Source organism: Homo sapiens, chromosome 7, assembly GCF_000001405.40.
Source record: "Homo sapiens chromosome 7, GRCh38.p14 Primary Assembly".
In the NCBI taxonomy this organism is placed as follows: Eukaryota; Metazoa; Chordata; class Mammalia; order Primates; family Hominidae; genus Homo; species Homo sapiens.
In genome coordinates, this window is record NC_000007.14 from 149,905,116 (window position 1) to 149,929,346 (window position 24,231).

The 24,231-nt window shown below is 41.0% G+C and overlaps 1 protein-coding gene across 21 annotated transcripts in view, besides 1 other annotated feature; it reads right to left on the minus strand.

The window, feature by feature from the left end:
* Positions 1–24,231, minus strand: part of ACTR3C (actin related protein 3C) — a 442,186-nt gene that overhangs the window by 23,756 nt on the left and 394,199 nt on the right. For 15 of the 21 annotated variants that reach the window (NR_147012.2, XR_007060145.1, NR_147015.2 and 12 more), the window contains one exon: positions 4,535–4,590. The exons of the other annotated variants lie outside the window; for them this stretch is intronic. Coding sequence is in view for 5 of the 15 variants with exons in the window: in NM_001351028.2 (NP_001337957.1) it covers positions 4,535–4,590 (56 nt within the window). In the remaining 10 variants the exon portion in view is untranslated. The remainder of the gene's footprint in view (positions 1–4,534; positions 4,591–24,231) is intronic. 21 annotated transcript variants of the gene reach the window in all.
* Positions 1,909–2,408: an enhancer, noted in NCBI's record as "H3K27ac hESC enhancer chr7:149604113-149604612 (GRCh37/hg19 assembly coordinates)". NCBI's record gives its function as "activates a minimal SCP1, AML or CMV promoter by ChIP-STARR-seq in naive H9 embryonic stem cells {active_cell/tissue: H9 hESC(naive)}" and the evidence as "EXISTENCE:reporter gene assay evidence [ECO:0000049][PMID:30033119]".

A 24,231-nucleotide genomic window follows, 5' to 3' on the forward strand; every position in this document is an offset into this window, starting at 1 on the left:
CTAAAGAGTAAGAGCCAAAGCTATTCTGAGAAAAAAAATGAGTAGGAATCGAACCCACTAGATTAAAACATGATAAAGTAATAGTGTTTAACACTGTGAGTATGGAACGTATGGAACACAGATAAATACATCAAAGAAACAAAAGACACCGAAAACATTCCCAAGCATAAATGGTACCTCCATATGATCAAAGAGGTGTGCCAAATGGGAATGCACTCTTTAATAAATAGTGTTGGGACAACTAGCCTTCCGCATGGAAAACAAAATTACCTATCTCCTTCACACCATACTCACAAATTAACTTAAAATTTTCTTAGAAAAAATATAGAAAGTCTTTATGACTTTGGAGTAGAAATGCATTTTTTAAACAGAAACAAATTATAAAAGAAAAAGACTGAAAAGTATTACTATATCAAAATTTTAAATTTCTAGATGATAAAAGATAATTTTTAAAAATGTCATAGAATAAAAAAGTATCTGCGAAAAATTCATATTTAACCTCTACAAAGAGTTCCTATAATTCCACTTAAAAATGCAATAGAAAAATGGGCAAAGATATGAACAGGTAATGAAAGGTGCTCAACCTTACCAGTAATCTGAGAAATAGAAATTTTTTGAATGAGCCATCATTTTACATTCATTAGACTGACCAAAATGTGAGTCACACAATACCAATTATCAAGGATCTACGAAACAGAAACTCTCACACACTGCTGATGGGATATCCATCAGAACAGCCTCCTGGAGGAGTAACGTGGCAATACCTAATTAGGTGTTGCCTAAGGATGAAGGGGTGTACGCTCTGTGACAAAACAATTTCTGATTATTTCCTCTCAGGAAACTAGCAGATACGCATAAGGAAATTTTTACTGCACCATTTTATATAACAGAGAAGTGAAAAATGCCCAAAAGGAAAAAAATCGTTGTATATTCGCGTTAGAATTCTGATGTGGATCTGTATGTGTCAGCACTGATACATGACAAAAACATAATATTGAGGGTTTTTCTTTTTAAAGACCAGGCAGAAAGTTATTTACGATGTGATACCATATTGGAAATGTTTGAACTCACAAAACGATGTATCTTTGTACATGTAATATACGGATAAAAATGGAGTAGAAACACAACCAGAAACTATCCACCAGAGGAAAGAAAAGAGGAAAAGAAGAGAGGGCTGATACTCAACCTATAATGTGCCATTTATTCATTTACTCTGATACAGAGATGAAATATGCAGTAATGACGTGTTCATTCTTGGTGGTGAGTCCATGGGGTTTTTGTGTGTGGGGTTTGTTTCTTTTTTTTTTTTTTTTTTTTTTTTTTTTTTTTTTTTTTAGATGGAGCCTCACTCTGTCCCCCAGGCTGGAGTGCAGTGGTGCAATTTCGGCTCACTGCAACCTCCACCTCCCGGATTCAAGTGAGTCTCCTGCCTCAGCCTCCCGAGTAGCTGGGATTACAGGCACCCGCCACCATCCCGGGTTAATTTTTGTATTTTTAGTAGAGATGGGGTGTTGCCATTTTGGCCAGGCTGGTCTCAAATCCCTGACCTCAGGTGATTCGCCCACCTTGGCCTCCCAAAGTGTTAGGATTACAGGCGTGAGCCACCGCGCCCAGCCCACTGTTATATTTTCTAGCTGCAGCCTAACTCTCTTCCCTAGGCCTTAAACCTCTTCACACCTGAACTCTTCCAATATTGAATGTCTAAAATGTGTGCCCTTTTTCTCAGCCCCTCGCTGCTCCTCCTCTAGCCTCTTTCTACACCACACATTCTCTGATCACCACACATTCTCCGCCTGAAGCTGCGGCAGGACCACCAATATCCTCCAACGACTTAAGAAAAAAAAGTAGGGAATAACTTTCTTCAAGCAACCAAGCAAATTCTGCACAGAAGCTCCAACAAACCAGACATAAGCAGAGCTGCCCCTGGAGGCAGGGACGGGGCTTGAGGATTCTCTAGTCCAGTGGGCCAGGCCCCAGAGAGAAGCCTCAAAAACAGTCTGAAAATTCCTGGTATGCAAAATAAAAACAGAATTCCTTAAGAGGACACTTGCAAGTCCCTTGCCACCCAGTCCTTCCCCACAGGTCTCCACCTCCTGGCGCTCTCCCCACCATCCCACAGCACCCCTGCTTCTCCACACCCCCACAGCACCTCACCTCCATGCCACGCAGAGAAAGTCTTGCTCCAGCACTCAGCACACACATCCACACACTTGCACAAAATGGTTCCACTCCCAGCCCCAAGACACGCAGCAGGCCAACTGTCCACGGTGACCCAGGGCCTCACTTCCACATCTCAGTATCCTCACTTCTGCCCGAACATCTTCTAACCTTGACTCCTGGGGCCTCTCTTGCCTCTCTTCTCTTCTCTCTCTCTCTCTCTCTCTCTCTCTCTCTCTCTCAACAAACTCAGCCCAACAATGTAACTGTTCTTTTACTCCCACCTCTTTGACATTTGTATTATCCTCCTAGCTTCTGCGACTGCTAAGGTTCTGATAGCTGCAGTCTGAGAGCTCTCCTGCTTTTTGACAGTGAATGAAATCCTGATAATAACTGTCTTCGCTTCCCGTCTCTATTAATGATGACAGGTTAAATGGGGCAGCCAACTGAATGCTACCAACAGCTTTAAATGGCAACACATTAAAGCAAAAGGTGCAAGGTCAGCCTTTTATAGCTGTCACACTTAACAAGGTTAAAATCTAATTTTCTGCTTTGAAAAGTCAGGGAGTTCAATTTATCAACTCAGCATGGAATGATCGGGTTCTGGGGCATTCACATTAATGAAATTCACAAAAGACTGATTCATCCTACAGAACACCAATTGTCATGGACTGAACCATGTCCCCACAGAATTCACTACGCAGAAGCCCTAACCCTCAATGTGACTGTATTTGGAGATGAAACTTTTAGAGAGGTGGTTGGGGTAAATGTGGGGTCCCCATCAATAAGAGTGGTGGCCTTATCAGCAGAGAAAGAGACACCAGCGAGGTCCCCAGCAACCCCACACACTGACACAGAGATGAGACCATGGGAGGACACAGAGAGAAGGCAGCCCTCTGCAGGCCGTGGGGAGAGGCCTCACGGGAAACCAACCCTGACAGCACCTTGATCTTGGACTTCCAACCTCCAGACTATGATAACATTAATTTCCCCAGTCTTTAGTATTTTTTATGGCAGCCCAAGCACACTAAGACACTCGTTTCTGAATTCAAAATGAGGACACAGCAGACCAATCATGCCTGTCATCAGGATAACCCATTCATGGCAGCAGAGCGTTTAGATCTAGAAAATCACATTCATGGCCAGTTTTTCAGCAAGCAAGGAACCGGAATGAGGTTACTTAAATGTTCTCAAAGAATCTGGAGTCCGCTTTCTAGTGATGTGAATACCCACATTCACCAAATACAGCTTTAGCCCTCCCCTGAATAAGCACTAATCAAGCACCTTCTCTCCAGCTGTTTTTTCCCTGTCGACATTCCCCACTGTTCACAAAGCCTGTTATTACAACATCGTGGCCCCCTAAAAACTTACAATTTCTAAAATCACAACTTATCTTATTAGAGCTACATGTAGAGAACAGACTTTCACTTTCTCTTGATTAATACATCCTACTCTTTAGAAAACTGTTTCCAAATAATAACCTGAAATATAGATAGTTCCAGGGAATCCTATCTTTTTTTTTTTTTGAGACGGAGTTTCACTCTTGTCACTCAGGCTGGAGTGCAGTGGCACGATCCCGGCTCACTGCAACCTCCACCCCCCAGCTTCAAGTGATTCTCCTGCCTCAGCCTCCCGAGTAGCTGGGATTACAGGCACGCACCACCACACCCAACTAATTTTTGTATTTTTGATAGAGACGGGGTTCCAACATGTTGGTCAGGCTGGTCTCGAACTCCTGACCTCAGCTGATCCACCCGCCTCAGCCTCCCAAAGTGCTGCGATTACATGCGTGAGCCACCACGCCCAGCCAAGAATCCTATCCTTTAACAACCGACTAACCTCGGGAAGACTCCTACAGGAAATAAAGAGTGAGTAGAACGCCCCATGCCAAACTGCAAGGACACTTCTGTTATTCTCTACCGATTAAAACTTAAACAAAAACAGAATACTACTAAACACAATAAAAACAGTCATCAGGCCTATCATTTCCACCAAAAAAAAAAAAAAGAATCTTTCAATAGAGTGAATAGTGTAGTACAAGAGATATTCAGTCCATTAAGTTACTAAGCTAACAGACTGTATGTACTTAAAATTACAAATTTACCTTAAAGACCAGATATACTTTTTCTAGGCAGTTCAGGCATTTATAATTGAATAAATGGACCCTGCTGACTATCCAAGCTGAGATTCCAACGACAGTGACAAGGGGCTTTATCAGAATGGAACAGAAGGACTAGAAAGTTGTGGGGTAACCAGAACGGTCTTCTAAAAGAAGATGGTAAGTACATTAATATATCTTGAAAAACAGAATCAGAACACTTAGAACAATTCTGAGAAACACAAACCTTTATAAACCCAAGGATAGAGCTTTACTTACATGAAGGAATAATGAACTGGGGCTCAGTGTTGCCTGCGTAGCCAAGCTTGGTATACCTAAAAGCACAAAGTCATCAACACATGTTTAGATAATAATACTCTCGTCTATATTGGATTAATGTCTTTTATTATAAGCTCTCCAAGTCCTAAAATAGCAAGCCTCAGAATACTCCTTGAAATTAAAAAAAAAAAACAAACTTGTGATCACTGAGAATCAAACACTAACTTCAAAGAAAGCAGTTTTGCAAAAACTTAAAATATTATGCTTGTTTCTAGTAGAAAAAAAGAAACACATATATACTAACATATAAATTACATTTATGCATCCCTAATAACTTTAAAAGTGCCTTTACACTCTATCTTTACAAAAACCTTGTGAAGAAAGTAGAAATTATCCCTGTTTTGCAAATGAGAAAAGGGAGGCACTGAGAAGTTGATTAAACTGCCCACATTAGTGAACTGCAGAAAAAGAACTCCCATCTACATATGCAGGCTAATTCCAACACTGGCTCTCTAAGAAGTGTACTTACTTCCTAGAACTTTTATACAAACTTCCTGAACTTTGCGGGGTGGGGGGCGGCGGTTAGAAAATGATTATATAATTTTCTTAAAATGTCATGGCATATGTCTAAGAAACAGCTACTGCCGTCTCCTGAGAATCATCTGACAAGAGCATCTCTTCATCATCTCATTTCAGAAGGAGCCCATTTTCTGTCAAGACACTGCATGATAGATTCCAAAAGTCTTAACTAAAACAAATGCCAAAATACTACTATCTGTTCCAAAAGCATTTGCTAGTCTCCTAAATATAAAAGGGGGGGTGGTGGGAAAAAAACCACCACTCAGAACCATCTGCTGGAAATAAAGTTGAAACGCGGTAAGTAAATCGAGAAGACTCATCAGCGCTTCCTTTCTTATTAGGACTACTCTAATTAACAGTAACGTCTGGACAACCAAGCCGTCATTCTGTAATAATGCTTATTATTATTATTTCAACACTGCTAACACTAGCAGTGTTGAAACTAACTTTATTCATTCAATTTTAAAAATTATTTCAATATGCTTAATATTAAATTTTTGATCCGGTAATATTTCTAAATTCTAATAAATTAATTTTACAATTTTTAAGTATGGTTTACCATATGCTAATTTTACTATTTTTGAACACACGGTGAATGGATAAGGTCTGGGGAAACCAAAAAAAAAACAAGTCAGCTCCCCTCAAATCACACATTGCTGCTCAACTTCCACAGGACCTGAGGTCTTCGTGCCACAGGAGCCAGGGCAATGCCAAGTCCTGAGACTCCTCAGGCCTACAAGGAGCTTCTGGAGGCAAGACCCAGGTGAAGTCCTCTCCAGCTCCACAACTCAAGAGCTGGAAACAGAGTACAAGGCCAAGTGGACCTACCACAACTCCACTCCGGGGTTCCACCTACAAGGTAGAATTCAGAGCCAACCAAGAGCCAACCCAGGATGGAGGCAATAGAGAGCCTGACCTTTAGAATTCCAGATCCTTCCCAATTTTAACATATTTCTGGAATTATATTCCAGAAAATAAATATAAATAAGTGAATTACTAACCCAAGGCTAAAGATGCCTATGGAATCCAACAAGCAGACCAGAAATCACTAAAATCATCAAATCTGTGTCTTTAACAAGCTACCTCAGCTACTTCCCACAAAATGATGCACCTTATGCTTAAATAAATCCACCTTCCCACACTGTTAGACTATGAGTTCCACACGCTGCCCAGAACAGGGTCCTTTCTCATGGTTATATCTACACCCCCGGCACAGTGACTGGCACATGGCAAATACTCCAGAAATAACTGCTGAATGTATTCTCACCAGTTGTAAAAAAGGTAATCATTGTCAAACTGCTAGCGGAAGGACCAATATTTGCAAGAGGGATGCTGAAAGTCAGAAAAAGAATCTGATGGAACCAGAAAAAAAAATCACAGACATCATCTCCTACAATCTCCTATTTAAGAGGAGCAGTGGCCTATGTGTAATGGGTTTCAGAAAAAAAAAAAACACTGAAACGAATATGGTAAAAATTAACATTTATTAAAATTAGGTGCTAAGTTTCATTCAGGCTATTATATCATTTTCGTATTTTGAGTATACTATACTGGTTAAGATCATGCACTTTGGCACCACACTGAGTTCAAATCCCAGCCCCACTATTTGACAAATGTGTATCTTTGGGCAAGTTACTTTACCTATCTGTATGTCAGTTACTGTAAAATGGGGATAATAGACTGAGGCAAGAGGACCCGTTAAGCCCAGGAGTTCGAGGTTGCAGTGAACTATGACTGCACCACTGCCCTGTAGCCCGGGTGACAGAGCGAGACCCTGTCTCGAAAAAAAAAAAAAAAATCTGAAAAGTTTAAAAAAACAAACAAAAAGCAATTTGTTCTGTATCCCAAGTGATAGCATTCATTCTTCCCACTGTGCACCATGGACAGTTTAATTTGTATAGTGGTGAGAATGAAATGTATGAAACAAATGGTAAATCTAGTAGATACCTGATAGGCCTTCAACAACTATGCCTCATTTCCATCCCAAAGTTTTGTACCCTGAAATCATAACTATGGCCCACAGCAGGAAAAGGTCAGACTACAAAAACAGACTTGAGCACTGTTAGGCTCACAGCTCTAAAATTCAACTAAACACTGATGATATGACTCAGCGACAGCTGCTGGAATGTTCAGATTCTTAAGTCACAACATTCTTTTAGACAGTATAGTCTTGGAAGGAGGTCTCTGTCAAAGTCACACGGGTACCTTAAGTATCAATGACATTAAGCCAACAATGATTTTCGTGACCGAGGCAAACTAACATGAAGATATATTAATTTTTTTTTTTTTTGAGACAGAGTTTCGCTCTTTCGAGCAGGCTAGAGAGTGCAGTGGCGCGATCTCGGCTCACTGCAACCTCCGCCTTTCTGTTTCAAGCGATTCTCCTGCCTCAGCCTCCTCAGTAGCTGGAATTACAGGCGCCTGCCACCACACCCGGCTAATTTTTGTATTTTTAGTAGAGATGGGGTTTCACCATGTTGGCCAGGCTGGTCTCGAACTCCTGACCTTGTGATCTGCCTGCCTCGGCCTCCCAAAGTGCTGGGTTACAGGCGTGAGCCACAGTGCCTGGCCCTAATATTCTTATGTGTTAACAACTTACTATGAGATCATTACCCTCCTAGCAGAACTGACGTTATTTTTAAAAACACTGGCAAAAGCACAAATTCTTCAGATCACTTTATTCTAATATAATATCTTTCCATTTTCCTGGGCTATTCCTTATATATTAATAGTATCAAATACACTTGAAGTTTTGTTACTTTGAATAATCATAATGTAACAAACATCAAACCAAATTTGAGACATTCAAATTTAAAATTTTAATAAAATCTGCACCAACATAGGCTCATCCATCACTAACTTCAATGACAATCTATTAAATATAACTCAGTAGATGTCATCTAAAAAGTACGCATCCTCAAATTCTTTCCCAGGAGGAGAACTCAATGCTAGACTGGCCTGCCCCATTAGAGATGTTAACATCACAGCTCAATGCCATGAAGAGCAGGACCAAAAAAACAAAAGCAAAACATAATTCTTAAATATGGCAAGTGCTCAAGACACCATTTACCAAAAAAAGAAACGTTCCCTATTTCAACCAGTTTACTAGCTAGTAACAATGTAGCAGGCACTGTACTAGTCACTGAGCCGTACTCAGACTGAGGATAGGGGAGGCGGGTGGACATGGCCCAGGTCCTCAAAGTGTTCCTCAAAATGTTTACCTATTAGTTACAGGACTTCAGATTGAGCTTTCCAGTTGTAGCATGGCTTACTTTACCTGGAAGGCAAGTTTAAGATCTGGGTAGGCATCAAGGAAGAATAAGCCACATGTGGCTGACCAGATCACCTGGGAAACTCCGGAAACAGATTCCCAGGGGCCGTGCGCGATTCACTAAATGGGAATCTCCAGAGAAGGCTGGGCATCTGTGTTCTTAACACCCCTCGCTCACCCGCATGGTTCTGGCGGTCAACCAGCTTAGAACTCACTGACCTCAACTACGCCACATGAAGTCACCTTTAGCATTTTTATATAATGCAAGCTTCCTCACTGTCACATTATACCACAACCTTCTTCCACCCACCACATTTAGCACGATATATCTATAATACTGAAGTTTAATACTGGTCAGAAGTTCAGAAGAAATAACTCATATGTCCCTTTTTTTTTTTTTTTTTTTGAGACAGTCTCACTCTGTCACCCAAGCTGGAGTACAGTGGTGTGATCACGGCTCACTGCAGCCTCAACCTCCTGGGCTCAAGTGATCCTCCCACTTCAGCCTCCCAAGTAGCTGGGACCACAGGCACATGCCATCACACCCGGCTAAGTTTTTTTTTATTTTTTTGTAGAGAGGGGTCTTCCTATGTTGCCCAGATTGGTCTCAAACTCTTGGGCTCAAGGGATCCTCCCACCTTGGCCTCCCAAAGTGCTAGGATTATAGGTGTGAGCCACCGAGCCCAGCTACCAAATGCAGCAATTTTGTCTTATTATTTAAAACACTGTGTGTTTAGGTACTCTATGAAAAAAAATAATGTAGGAAATGCTTTCCAATTCAAACTATGCAATTAAGAAGTAGTGAAAAAAGGCCAGGCACAGTGGCTCACACCTGTAATCCTAGCACTTTGGGAGTCTGAGGTGTTGGATCACCTGAGCTCAGGAGATCAAGACCACCCTGGGCAACATGGTAAAACCCCATCTTTATACTAAAATACAAAAAATTAGCTGGGCATGGTGGCACGTGCCTGCAGTCCCAGCTACTCAGGAGGCTGAGGCACAAGAATCGCGTGAGCCCTGGCGCCACTGCACTCCAACCTGGGCAACAGAGTGAGACTTTATCTCAAAAATAAATAAATAAATAAATAAACAAACAGAAGTAGTAAAAAAAAAAAAAATCTAGGCTCAATCCAGGAAAGTAAAAAACTTAAGCTAAAAAGGGAAAGATTCCTTAGGAACAGATGATGGGAGAAAAAAAAAATCTCAAACCAAAATAAAATGAAACACTAGAAGAATCCTTATTGAAGCCAGAATTAAGCCAAGGAGATCTACTATCATTATTCTGATTTTACACTGTTTAGGAAGAATTAGATATTACAAATCAAAAAGAACAGAGTAAAGGAAAAGGATTTTGGGAAGAAGGAGGAGATTAAAATTTAATTCTTTTTTTTTTTTTTTTGGACGGAGTCTTGCTCTGTCACCCAGGCTGGAGTGCAGTGGCACAATCTCGGCTCACTGCAACCTCCACCTCCCATGTTTGAGCGATTCTTCTGCCTCAGCCTCCTGAGTAGCTGGGACTACAGGCGTGTACCACCACGCCCTGCTAATTTTTGTATTTTTAGTAAAAACGGGGTTTCACCATGTTGGCCAGGCTAGTCTGGAACTCCTGGCCTCAGGCGATCCACCTCGGCCTCCCAAAGTGCTAGGATTGCAGGCATGAGCCACCGCGCATGGCAAATTTCATTCTTTATAGATGATAACTGTATACCTTGAATAACTAAGGAAATTAAGTGAAAAACTAAAGCAATAAGGGAATTAAAAAAGATGACCAGTTACTAAATGAATAGACAGAAATCAACAACTACCCTGTCTAACAATAAGAACATATAATGGATGAAAACATCCCACTCAGAATGGCAACAGCAATAGAATGTTACCCTTAAGAATACACTACATAACTACATGAATAAGCTATTACTCCTACCCTTAAAAATAATATTGCTCTTTAAATAAACTCTCTATGTACAAGCAGACAAATAGAGACATGCCTTAATCTTACACAGGAAGAGTCCATTTTGTTTTTTTTGTTTTTTGTTTTCTGGTCAATTGGTTCAGGATGAGGAAGAGTCAATATTTTTAAAAGAAATATTGAATATCACTAAATCTACCTACAAATTTAATGCAAAGCCATTCAAAACTGGTGCCAATACTGAAGGTGGTGGTAAATTATACACAGGTGATAGTAAAGGGTTAAAGAGCCATTATAAAGTGTCACATTAGCTATCAAAAATTTTAATGCACATACCCTATTAGCCAAATAGTGCCTTTCTAGGAACCTACCCCACATAAGTATTTGTACATGTATGCAAAGATATACACACACAAAAATGTTCGGTGAAGCACTATAATAGCAAAACCACCACCAGAACCTGGAAACACTCAAAATAGAGGATATATTAAATAAATTATATTACATCCATTCAATAAAATTCTATACAACCATCAAAAATGAAGATGTATACTTACTGCCATAAACGGATATATAATATAGCTTGAAAGTGCTTGAAAACAGTATATATTTATAATGTGAGGCCAGCTTAATAGGGACACAATGCTAGGTTCAAATCCCAGCACCAGCTATGTGATTTCAGGCAAGTAAATTAATCCCTTCATTCCTTGGTTTCTTCATCTCTAAAACGTGGGTAATAATCCCTACCTCAGTGTTAAATGTTGCCATTTTTGGATAATATTTCCTAATTCAAAAGAAGTAGGATTTCATGGTGCAGTGATTTATTTACTTATTACTGAATATTATTTTTTGTATACTAGTGATCTCTATTTCTCTCATGAATTGTCCTTGGATAACTTTTCTACTGGAGTTTTAGTGCTTCTTATCAATTTGTGTGAATGCTTATACACTGAGGATATTTGTGCTTGCTCATTACATTGCTAATTTTTCCCAGCTTGTTGTTTACCTTGTTATACATTTTCTGCAATATAAGTATTTAAACAGTCTAGGTGATCAAATCTACCAATTATTTTCCTGAATAATTTCCTTTATTATGTTTCTACTTTGAAAGTCCCTCTATATGCTAAAATGTCATATCATTTCTCTTCCACTTTTATATATATATATTTTATCCCAAATGGGAAGAACTACACTAATCCAATTTTCCCAAACATATGTATATAAGCATTCAAGACCATCAACTTTGCATTAAAAGCCCTTGGTTTTTTTAACACTACCTTCCCAAAGCTAGCATGATGGAGGTAGGCACTACTCTCAAAAATACATAAACTATACTTACAGATTGCCAGCCATGTTCTCAAACTCACACCACCTTCCATGAGTCCCTTAACTTGTCTGAGACCTTTTCTCATACAGAAATCAGGAAAGACAGAAGAGGAAGCTATGGAAGCAGACCCAATCAATAGCTGCATAAAGCACTACCAATAGTTACATGTCTGCCTTTTAAGCAAAGAATATGTTATAGCTCAAAATTCAAAGCAATATAAAAAGGTATCCTTTAAGAAGTCTTACACTACCCCATTTCTGCCTTCTATCCACCTTCTATTCCTGTGTATCTTTCCGATGCTTCTCTCTGTACATACAATATATTATTATTTGCCCCAAATATTTTTTTTTTTTTTTTGAGATGGAGTTCCGCTCTTGTTGCCCAGGCTGGAGTGCAATGGCGCGATCTTGGCTCACTGAAACCTCCGCCTCCTGGGTTCAAGCGATTCTCCTGCCTCAGCCTCCCGAGTAGCTGGGATTACAGGCATGCGCCACTACGCCCAGCTAATTTTGTATTTCTAGTAGAGACAGGGTTTCTCCATGTTGGTCAGGCTGGTCTCAAACTCCCAACCTTAGGTGATCTGCCCGCCTCGGCCTCCCAAAGTGCTGGGATTACAGGCTGAGCTATCACACCCAGCCTGCCCCAAACATTTTAAACAGTTCTTGCACGAAGACTCTTTCACTTTACTTGTTAAATGCTCCTATCTTTTGACAGCAGTAATATGTAGACTTTTCAGTTCTGCAAAGTCAGGAAAATTAACCTATTGTTGACTCAACATATTTATATATAATTGAAACTCCTCTTCCAACCATGTGTCTTAAGCAGAAGGTAATGAACCTAAGGTCAATTAATTTATGTTTGAAAGTAGAAATGTTACATCTTAAAACAGTGTTTTACATCTTTTTTTTTTTTTTTTTTTGAGACAGGGTCTCACTCTGTCACCCAGGCTGGAGTGCAGTGGTGCAATCATAGCTCATTGCAGCATTGACCTCCTGGCCTCAAGCAATCATCTGCCTCAACTTCCTGAGTGGCCGAGACTATAGGTGCACGACACCATGCCTGGCTAGTGTTCTCAAACTGTGTCCTGTGAGAAGTTCTTTTGATTGAGACCCCTGGTGAGGTCCAGTCTCAAACCCCAAACTTCAATCAGAATAGCTCTACTCCCTCTTAAGATTTTTCACAGTTTAAACATGGTTTTGATAAAAGTAAAATTGTTCCCAGACGCTAACAATAGTTTTAAAGCAACGCACAATCTCCATATTGTGCAATGTAAATTACATGACCAATTTTTTTAATGTTCCTTGGCTTGCTGCATAGAAAAGCATAGTCTCTATAGAACGAAGAATTCAATATATAAAGTTCAAACTTAAATATTTTATCCAGATCCAGTATCTTTGCCCGTCCTTAAATTTTCTATTTCTCCTTCTGAGTACTTTTTTTTTCTCTATGTTACTTCGTATATATAAGATCATAAAGCACACTGCCCTTTTGTGAATTCTGAACATTGTTGTAAGGTAAACTCTGACTTCCAGTTAAAGTGTTTTAAAAGTGTTTTAACTGTTTAAATGATGGACTAAACATATTATCTAATTTCACTCTTTCCCAAAGCCCCACTAAAACCAAAGCAAAAAAAATTTTTAAGCAATTATTTTAAAAATTAAAAAAAAAATTTAGGCCAGGCGCAGTGGCTCACACCTGTAATCCCAACACTTCGGGAGGCCGAGGCAGGCGGATCACCTGAGGTCGGGAGTTCGAGACCAGGCTGGCCAACAGGGAGAAACCCCATCTCTACTAAAAATACAAAACTAGTCAGGTGCGGTGGCGCATGCCTGTAATCCCAGCTACTCGGGAGGCTGAGACAGGAGAATTGCTTGAACCCAGGAGGCGGAGGTTGCAGTGAGTTGAGATCACGCCATTGCACTCCAGCCTGGGCAACAAGAGCAAAACTCCATCTCAAAAAACAACAACAACAAAAAATTTAAAGCAATATTAAACCATGAGGATGTGGAGAAAAGAAAAGGTGACAACAGCAAGATTTTGGCCCTGAAAAGCTGAGGACCCATCGTGCCTGACTTTAGAGATATAAGAAAGACAGCAGGGGCAAGAGCTGAGAACGAGCCCAACACACTCCCTAGATCCTTAAAGGCTCTGGAACTTGTTGGTGCCCATGTACCTGTGGGACTGGAATAGGAGGGCTGAGGAGCAAGTGCGGACAGCCCAAAATACTCAGGCCATGGTGAGACCCTCTGCCGCCCCACACTGCTGGGCACTTGCTCCTCCCTGGCTTCAGCCTTCTCTACAAGTTTTCCGGAATGTGTAAAGCAAAGGTTCTCTGCACCCACAGTTAACTGGCAGGGTCGGAGTACAATGATAAAATCAAACATTTTTAAATAAACCAAAAAAATAATAATTAAACCCTTGTTTCATTTAATTTTTTTTGTTTTGCAATCAAATAATACTCACGCTTTCTTTTACTGTGCATTTGTTTGGCTTATTTTTGAACCATCCTTTTGCTTTTTTTTTTTGAGACAGAGTCACTCTGTTGCCCAGGCTGGAGTGCAGTATCATGATCTCCACTCCCTGCAACTGCCACCTCCCGGGTTCAAGCGATTCTCCTGCCTCAGCCTCCTGAGTAGCTGGTATTACAGGCATCCACCACCATGCCCAGCTAATTTTTGTATTTTTAGTAGAGACGGGGTTTCACCATGTTGGCCAGGCTGGTCTCGAACTCTGACCTCAAGTGATCCACCCACCTCGGCCTCTCAAAGTGCTGGGATTACAGGCGTGAGCCACCGCGTCTGGCCCCTTTTACTTTCTTTTTTGAATTTTTTTCCAACCTTTTACTTTCTGAATGAATGACTTATATGTAACTACCATAGTTTTTGTTTAGTACAGAAAGTGAATTTAGTTGAGTCCATGCCAGGTGAGGTCATCTCAGGTGCAACAGTCTTACTCGTTTTAACTTTTGTACTATTCCTTGTTGTTGCCTGTTTCCTTTTACTCTGTAATCTATTTTATTTGGTTGCTTTTCTTCCTCTCAATTTTACTTTTACTTTTACATTTCAAAGGTATACAAAGTCTGTTTTTAGCATAATAGCCTTCTCAATTTATCAATTTCAAAAAAATGAAACAGTATTCCTTAACCACATATTCTGAAAGATACGACAATTAGCACAGTGGTATCTCCCACTCCCCAGCCCAAACCTAACCTAATCCCCCATGATATTGTTGACTTCCAGGAAATTTTGCTATGGCATGTTATCATTGTGTTGACATTTTTAAGGTTGAGTCGGTATTTATTCAATTGTTTTTGCCTTCTGGCTTATTTCTCCAAGAAAGATTATTCAATTATTGAAGCTGGTATCTTTATACTTCAACCTCTCTATTTCTGGAGCCCTCACTGATTCATCTTTCAGTTGGCTGGGTTATATCTGCAAGTAGATTTTTCAGTGAGGTTTATGAATGCCATTAATTCCTGAGCTTTTGCCCATTTGCAAATGTCTTATTATGCTGCATTTTAATGACATTTCAATCCAATCACATTGTCTTCCTTCTTGCCCTAACTCCCCTACTCTTGTTTTTTCCTTTTGAGCCAGAGTCTCGCTTTGTCACCCAGGCTGGAGTGCAGTGGCGCAGTCACAACTCACGGTAACCTCGAACTCTTAGATTCACACTATCCTCCCACCTCTGCCTCCCAGGTTACTGACACCACAGGCACGCATCACCACACCTGGCTTTTTCTTTTAGGGGGCAGGGGGACAGAGACAGGGTCTTGCTATGTTCCCCAGGCTGGTCTCCAACTCCTGGGCTCAAGCAATCCTCCTGCCTTGGCCTCCCAAAGTGCTGGGATTACAGGCATTAGCCACTGTGCCCAGTCCCCCTACATTCTTAAGCATTGCTTCATCATCTTTTGGCACATTACACTGTTGAAAACCCCAAGACTAAGGTGATTTTATTTTTTCCATTATAGGTGGCCTGTTGGCTTTTTTCCTGCTTAAATATGTGTAGTATTCTTTTATCTTTTAGGGGTTTGTTTTGTTTTGTTTTTGAGATGGAGTTTCACTCTCGTTGCCCAGGCTGAAGTGCAATGTCATGATCTTGGCTCACCTCAACCTCTGCCTCCCAGGTTCAAGCGATTCTCCTGCCTCAGCTTCCCAAGTAGCTGGATTTACAGGCATGCACCACCACACCTGGCTAATTTTGTATTTTTAGTAGAGATGGGGTTTCTCCATGTTGGTCAGCTGGTCTGACCCCAGGTGATCTGCCCACCTCGGCTTCCCAAAGTGCTGGGATTACAGGCGTGAGCCACCGTGCCCGGCCTATCTTTCAGGTTTTATAAATTAACCAGGATACGCTTCCATTTTAATGACTCTGAATTTTTTCCAGTTCACAGTGAGTCCTTATATTAATATTATATGATCTTTCATTATATTCCAGGAAAACTTTGTCTTTTATTTATTAATGTTACATCTGTTCCACACACTCTGTTCTCTTCAGCAGGAACACCAGCTCTGACTACAGTAGATGCCTTCTGGACTCTTCTCCCACAGCTTCCATCTTCTTTCTAATCACCATGACCTCTTTGTTCTTTCCTACCGTGGTCTACGTAATTTCAGGAAGTTGATCCTCACATCAGTGATTTCAGAACCACTGGTACTACCTCATGTAACCTCCAACATGCTTTTAATTCCTGAAATGATTTTAGTTTTCTATTTCTTTCCTTATGGATGTCAGCTGACCTCCATCTCCTCCTTTTAGCTTTCTTTAATCTTTTAAAATTACTTCTTTGTTCTTTTGTTTTATTGAGCTCGTGTTGTCTAAATTTAAGAGCAAAGTGGCTTTATCTAAAATTCCATTCTAGCTGGGCACAGTGGCTCACACTAGTAATCCCAGCACTTTGGGAGGCTGAGGCAGGCAGATCACCTGAAGTCAAGAGTTCAAGACCAGCCTGGCCAACATGGTGAAACCCCATCTCTACTAAAAATACAAAAATTAGCCAGGCATGGTAGCAGGCACCTGTAATCCTAGCTACTCGGGAGGCTGAGGCAGGAGAATGGCTTGAACCCAGGAGGCAGAGGTTGCAGTAAGCCGAGATCAAGCCACTGCACTCCAGCCTGGGTGTCAGAGCGAGACTCTGTCTCAAAAAATGAAAAAAAAAATAAAATTCCATTCTAATTACTGAAGTACTCTTTCCAAAGTATACTTTTTCATCTATTTTTGCTTGTTATGTTTCCTTCCTTATTTTCTGTGCGTAGTCCCATGATGGGTCCTTTCTGCTTCACACTCAGCTTTGAATGGGTGCAGGTCTCCCTGGACTTGCTTGCTCAGTAACAACTCTTCGCCATGCTTACAATGACACTGAATACAATGTCTTGAAATCTCTGTGTAGTCCTCTGGTTGTTTAGAAGAATTGGCTGAACAGTGAGCAATCAGAGCCTGAACTTGGGTATACTTTCCCACTAATTCTACTAAATCCTTTGTTCTGGGTGTATATCTAATTCCAAAGTTCATTGTGGAGGACAGGCGGGTTTAAGGGGAAATGCCTTATCTTAGATATTAGCAATTCCTGATCAGATATAAGCTGGTCATCCTCACAGATTTTCTCCTTTAGTCAAACAAAGTCAAAGAACATAATGACACCATTACTACATGATCCCTCTTTCAGCCCAGCATGCCCTGCTATATTTTAGGATGGAAAGGAGCTGCTGCCAGAATATGCTTCTTTGGCAATGGTCTATTCATCCATCAGCTCCTAGCTCTGCTGTAACGACTGTGAGTAGTACCTTCAGATACGTATGCTTAGACACCTGCAACCAGCCAGAGATGGGCGGGGATGCCACATCTCAGTATCCTCCTGCAAATGGATCCACACTTCACTGGAAATTTCATAAAATGTGATATGAATTTTAGCTGTTTTCTTCTCTATTTTTGGTTAGTTTTGTTCATTTTTAGGAGGTTCCAGGAAGTAGTGTTACATGAATGTATATTTATAGCACCATATGCCCAATAAACTATTAAAGAATCTTTTAGTATGAAAAGGATATAAGACATATGGTAAAATCAATGCTACAGAGAACTTTTCCTAAATGAAGCTTTTATGGCAGTTGTAAGGGGAAGAGTATAGTAATTTATGGCTCTGTCCTCTGTCAATACAGGTCCAATGCAACATGAAAAGAATGCACATAAAATAAATTTGTTGACTACTAATAATTTTTATTAATTAGAAATAAAAGGCTTTTTTTTTTTTTTTTTTTTTTTTTACAAATCAGATGCTGAAAGGGAGAAAGGGGGAGGGGAAGAAGAGATGCAAGCTAATTTCATAATTACTCATAGTTGGGAGCCAACAGAAAACAGCCACAAATAAAAGGACTATATATAATGATAACAATTAGACAAAAATACAGTCTGCCCTAAAGTGCACCAAAAAAGATATTAATAAAATAAAGTGGACTACATGGCAAAAGATTATGTTTAAATACATATATATGTAAATATTGCAAAACTGAGGCCAAATATATCAATCATATCAATACATATAAATATGCTTAAATCACCTATCTATGAGTATAAATGAGCTTAAGTCATCCAATAAAAGGCAACATTTTCATATTGACTAAAAAGCAAAACAATATTTTGGGTACAGACAATTCAGAAAGAATAATAAAAGGATGGACAAATATATATATATCTATATCAGATAAACACAAGGAGAAGCAAGCAGGGATCACACATCTTGATATCTGACAAAGTAGAACTTGGCTGAGAAAACAATTAGAAGGCTACTTGATATGCTAAATCAACAACTCTAGTGAAGAGACAAGTTATTTCTATCTAGATAACCAATATGGCAGCAACAACTTTCATAAAGCAGAACCCACAGAAAATGCAAGGAGACCTTAATAGGTTACTAAAAATAGGAGGCCTTAGTATGCCATTCTCAGTCCATGACAGACTAGGTACACACACACACACAAATGTGAGCCCAGGCATGGTGGCTCACCCCTGTAATCCCAGCACTTTAGGAGGCAGGGGCGGGTGGATCACCTGAGGTCACGAGTTCGAGACCAGCCTAGCCAACATGGAGAAACCCCGTCTCTACTAAAAACACAAAAATTAGCCAGGCATGGTGGTGGGTGCCTATAATCCCAGCTCCTCGGGAGGCTGAGGCAAAGAACTGCCTGAACCCAGGAGGTGGAGGTTGCAGTGAGTCGACATCACGCCACTGCACTCCAGCCTGTACGACAGAGGGAGACTCAGTCTCAATTAAAAAAAAAAAATTGGAAGCCCTAAATAACATAATTAATAAGGTAGTTCATATAGACACATTAAACTCAGAACTTATAAAGATTGTATCTCCTAGCCAGGCACGGTGGCTCATGCCTGTAATCCCAGCACTTTGAGGGGCCAAGGTGGGTGGCTCACCTGAGGTCAGGGGTTTGAGACCAGCCTGGCCAACATGGTGGAAGCCCGTCTCTACTAAATATAAAAAATTAGCTGGGTGTGATGGCGGGCGCCTGTAATTGCAGCTACTTGAGAGGCTGAGGCAGGAGGATTGCTTGAATCCAGGAGGTGGAGGTTGCAGTGAGCCAAGATCGCTCCATTGCACTCCAGCCTGGGCAACAAGAGTGAAACTCTGACTCAAAAAAATGAATACAAAGAACATTCGCAAACCCTCTTAGACCACAATAAGTGAAAACAAACAAACAAACAAACACCAGAACTATCCCACTAAAAATCAGGAATAAAATAATAATGCCCACTAACTCCACTCTGATTTAAATTAACATTGCTTTGGAGGTAATGGCCTCTGCACTGTGTCAATAAAAAAGCGGTTAAGAGTCCCTAAAAATGGAAAGGAAGAGGTAAAACAATCTCTTTTGCCAATAACACGTTTTGGTTTTTATTTTTGAGACAGCGTCTGGCTCTGTTGCCCAGGCTGGAGTACAGTGGCTCAATCTCAGCTCACTGCAACCTCCACCTCCCAGGTTCAAACGAGTCTCCTGCCTCAACCTCCCATGTAGCTGGGATTACAGGCGTGTGCCACCACGCCCAGCTAATTTTTTTGTATTTTTAGAAGAGACAGGGTTTTGCCATGTTGGCCAAGCTGGTCTCAAATTCCTGGCCTCAAGTGATCTGCCTGCTTCGGCCTCCCAAAGTGCTTGCAATTACAGGTGTGAGCCACTGCGCCGGGCCCAGTGACAAGTTTTTATATCTGAAAATCCCTAGGGATCAAGGGAAAAATTTATACAAATAATGTGAGCATTCTGTAAAGCAGCACGTTATAAAATGAGTAACTACCATGAAAAACCACCATGTAATCTAGGAATGAAAAAACTAACAATCTTCATATATTCAAGAAAAACAAGATAAAATCGAAGAGAAGGCACCATTTATGATAGCAAAAAAAAATCAAATACATAAAGTTAACAAGAAATCTACCTGCAGAAACACCACAATATTCCTAAAAGACACAAAATAGAATTGAACTAATGGAGAGATAAACCATGTTCTTTGATGGGAAGACTCAGTATTATAAAGATGATGATGTTCATTAAATTAATTTTTAAGTTTAATAAAATCCCAATAAAAATGCCATCAGGCTTTCTCTCCCGGAACTAGAGAAACTGATTACAAAGATCACTTGGAGGAACAACAATCGAAAACACATGGGAAAGCCCTAAAAAGGAATTAGATGGGCAGGGGAAGCCGGCACCATTAGAAATGAAATCATTCTAAAGAGCCTAATTAAAACTGTGTGGTGCTGCTATTATGAACAGACCAATAGACTAACACAACACAATACAAAATCCAGAAAGAAACACAATTGCATAGACAAATGCAGCATATGATAAAGGCAGCATCTCCAGTCATTGGGTTTTTTCCATAAATTATGTTGAGATAAACAGGACAGCCATAGCCACACACACACAAAAGTGGATCCCACTGGGTCCATTCTTCATACCTTATCTCAGGATAAATTCCAAATGAATTAGAGATTTAAATGAAAAAAATGAAACCATTAAAAAAAAGAAAAAAAACCTACCAGCTGGGCACAGTGGCTCACATCTATAATCCCAGCACTTTGGGAGGCCGAGGCAGGTGGATCACCTGAGGTCAGGAGTTTGAGATCAGCCTGACCAATATGGTGAAACCCCCTTCTCTACTAAAAATACAAAAATTAGCCCGATGTGGTGGCATGCACCTGTAGTCCCAGCTACTCGGGAGGCTGCAGCAGGAGAATCGCTTGAATCCAGGAGGTGGAGGTTGCACTGAGTGGAGACTGTGCCGCCGCACTCTAGCATGGGCAACAGAGTGAGACTCTGTCTCAAAAAAACAGAAAAGAAAAAGAAGAAAAGAAACCACCATGTAATCTGGGAATGAAAAAAACCTTTCTTATGACTCAAAATCTAGAAACAATAAAGAAAAGATGAATAAATCCGATTGCCTAAAGAAAACAAACTTTGCATGGTAAAAGACAAATGATAAATAGGGGAAATATATTTGCAACGTATATCATTAAGGGTTAATATTCCCTATGTGCAGAAGAAAGTTAATGGGCCTGAGACTGCTGTCTCTTAGAAAGTCCTGCTTGGAGGAATGGCCTTTAATTGGTATCTAGGATCTTGGAGTTCAGGTGTTCCCACCATTCCCTAAATGCTAAAAGTAGTTCACTGCTCCTAGAGTGGCAAACAACGTGGTTTATGCCAATGCCTTGCTTTCCTTCTGGGACTCTGGAATTCTGGCATGTGCTATGCACAGGGTGTCTGCATGACAAGTCCCCAGTGAAAACCTTGGGCCCTGAGTCTCTGAGGAGCTTCCCTGGTACGGAGCATTGCACACATGTTGTCACAGCCTGATGCTGGAGGAATTAACTGCATCCTGCACGGCTGCACTGGGTGAGGACTCGGGAAGCTTGCCCCGGTTTCCTGTAGGCTCCACCCCACATCTTTTCCCTTGGCTGTTTTTGCTTTGTACATTTTCACCGTAGTCCTGATTCCTCCCAGCAAGTCACTGGAACTGGGAGTGGTCTGCGGAACCCCTGAACAGACCTTAATACATGAAGAGCTTCTAAAAATGAAGAAGCAAAAGACCAAAACCCCAGAGAAAAGTTAGAGAAATGAAGAGACCGAAAAAAATAAATGCGAAGATTATCATAATCATGAAAGTGGGTTGTTAAAATATGAAGTTCAGCCTTCTCTCGTGCTCACAATCTCACCCACTCTTGCCCTTCCTTCTTCCGCCATGGGATGACACAGCACGCAGGGCCTCATTAGATGCTGGCACCATGCTCTAAGACTCTGCAGCCTCCAGAACTATGAGCCAAATAAACTTTTTTTTTTCTTTTTTTAAGGTGTGCACTTTTACCGAACTGGTCTCAAGTCAGTGTACAGGTATGCCCTGGCTGCCTCCACACTTCCACCCACTCCCAGGGAGACCAAGAGCCTTCTTACATCTCAAGGTAGGAACAAAAATGGGGACCATGATGGCTGATTATTCAAAATAAAACAAAAAGTATTAAGGTGAAGATTTTTTAAAATGCTGCATTACATAATTTACATGAAAGCAATCCTGTAACCTCCCCTTTGTGGACTCAGGAGAGAACTGGGCCGTTCTCCTGAGAGAAGTGGGGTGGCTTTTGGGAGGGCAAGGGACTTCCTGTAACAATGCATCTCACAATATGTGGAATGACTATTTAAAAAAAAAAAAAAAAAGCCAGGCGCAGTGGCTCATGGCTGTAATCTCAGCACTTTGGGACGCCGAGGCAGGCAGATCACCTGAGGTCAGGAGTTCAAGACCGGCCTGACCAACATGGAGAAACCCCGTCTCTATTAAAAATACAAAATTAGCCGGGCATAGTGGCGCATGCCTGTAATCCCAGCTACTTGGGAGGCTGAGGCAGGAGAATCACTTGAACCCGGGAGGCGGAGGTTGTGGTGAGCCAAGATCACGCCATTCTACTCCAGTCTGAACAATGAAAGCAAAACTCTGTCTCCGAAAGAAAAAAAAAAAGGGCCAGGGTAAGACCCAGTCTCAAAACAAAAATAAAAATAAGTAAGCAAAATAAAGAACGATGTACAATCAAGGTCCTCGGCCACACTGTAGAACTTTGGGGGATGCTCACGCCAACTAACTGCTGTCACCTTCACCATTCTATTCTTTTCTTTATAAATTACCCGGTGTGTGGTATTCTGTTACAGCAACACAAAACAAAGACATTAAGATATCATTTATTCTAGGTTGGTAATTTTACAAATTGGCAATAGGCTCTATTGGTGAGTCTGTAAGACAGAGGCATCCTCACACATTACTGGTGAGAATGCACACTAATGAGTGTAATTTGACACTGCCTAGCAAAATTACATATGCATTTTCCCTTTGACCCAGAAATCCCATTTCTAAAAATCTAAGCCACAGATACTCAGGCAAAAAATACAAAAAGATATCCTTGCTTTCTTTTTTTCTTTTCTTTTTTTTTTTTTTGAGATGGAGTCTCACTCTGTTGCCAGGCTGGAGTGCAGTGGCGCGATCTCAGCTCACTGCAACCTCCGCCTCCTGGTTCAAGCGATCCTCCTGCCTCAGCCTCCTGAGTAGCTGGGACTACTAAAATTAGCCCGCCAGTGTGCCCGGCTAATTTTTTTGTATTTCTTTTTTTTTTTTTTTTTTTTAGTAGAGACGGGGTTTCACTGTGTTAGCCAGGATGGTCTCGATCTCCTGACCTCATGATCCACCTCCTCGGCCTCCCAAAGTGCTGGGACTACAGGTGTGAGCCACTGCGCCTGGCCAGAATGCTCAAAAAATGAAGACATATCTAAAGAATATGGAAGGCCAGGTGCAGTGCCTCATGCCTGTAATCCCAACACCTTGGGAGGCAGAGGTGGGCAGATCACCTGAGGTTAGGAGTTCAAGACCAGCCTGGCCAACATGACAAAACCCCATCTCTACTAAAAATACAAAAAAACAGCCATGCGTGGTGGTGTACACCTATAATCCCAGCTACTCAGGAGGCTGGGGCAGGAGAATCGCTTGAACCCGGGAGGCAGAGGTTGTAGTGAGCTGAAGTCACACCACTGCACTTCAGCCTGGGCAACACAGCAAGACTCCGTCTCAAAAAATAAATAAATAAAAAATAAAGAACATGGGAGTCAGCCTGAATGAGCTTCACTTGGCAAAATCTGGGACAATTTAAGCAATAGATAATAACCCACTGACAACAATGAGGACGGCATAATGGATTATCATTCTTTGAACAGAACGACAACTCCTACAGACAATAAACAAATGAGGCCTATGGATAAGTTCTCCCTTAAAATAAAATGTTAACTAATAAATGGAGACAGAATAATAGAGTTCAAAAATCACCATTTTGCAACCATCACCATAATTAGTAATTCAGGCAAGAATCACCAATGGACCAGGCACAGTGGCTCACGCCTGTAATCACAGCACTTTGGGAGGCCAAGGCGGGTGGATTGCTTGAGATCAGGATTCAAGACCAGCTTGGGCAACATGATGAAATCCCGTCTCTACCAAAAATACAAAAAGTTAGCTGGGCATGGTGGCTCATGCCTGTAATCCCAGCTACCCATGAGGCTGAAGCAGGAGAATTCCTT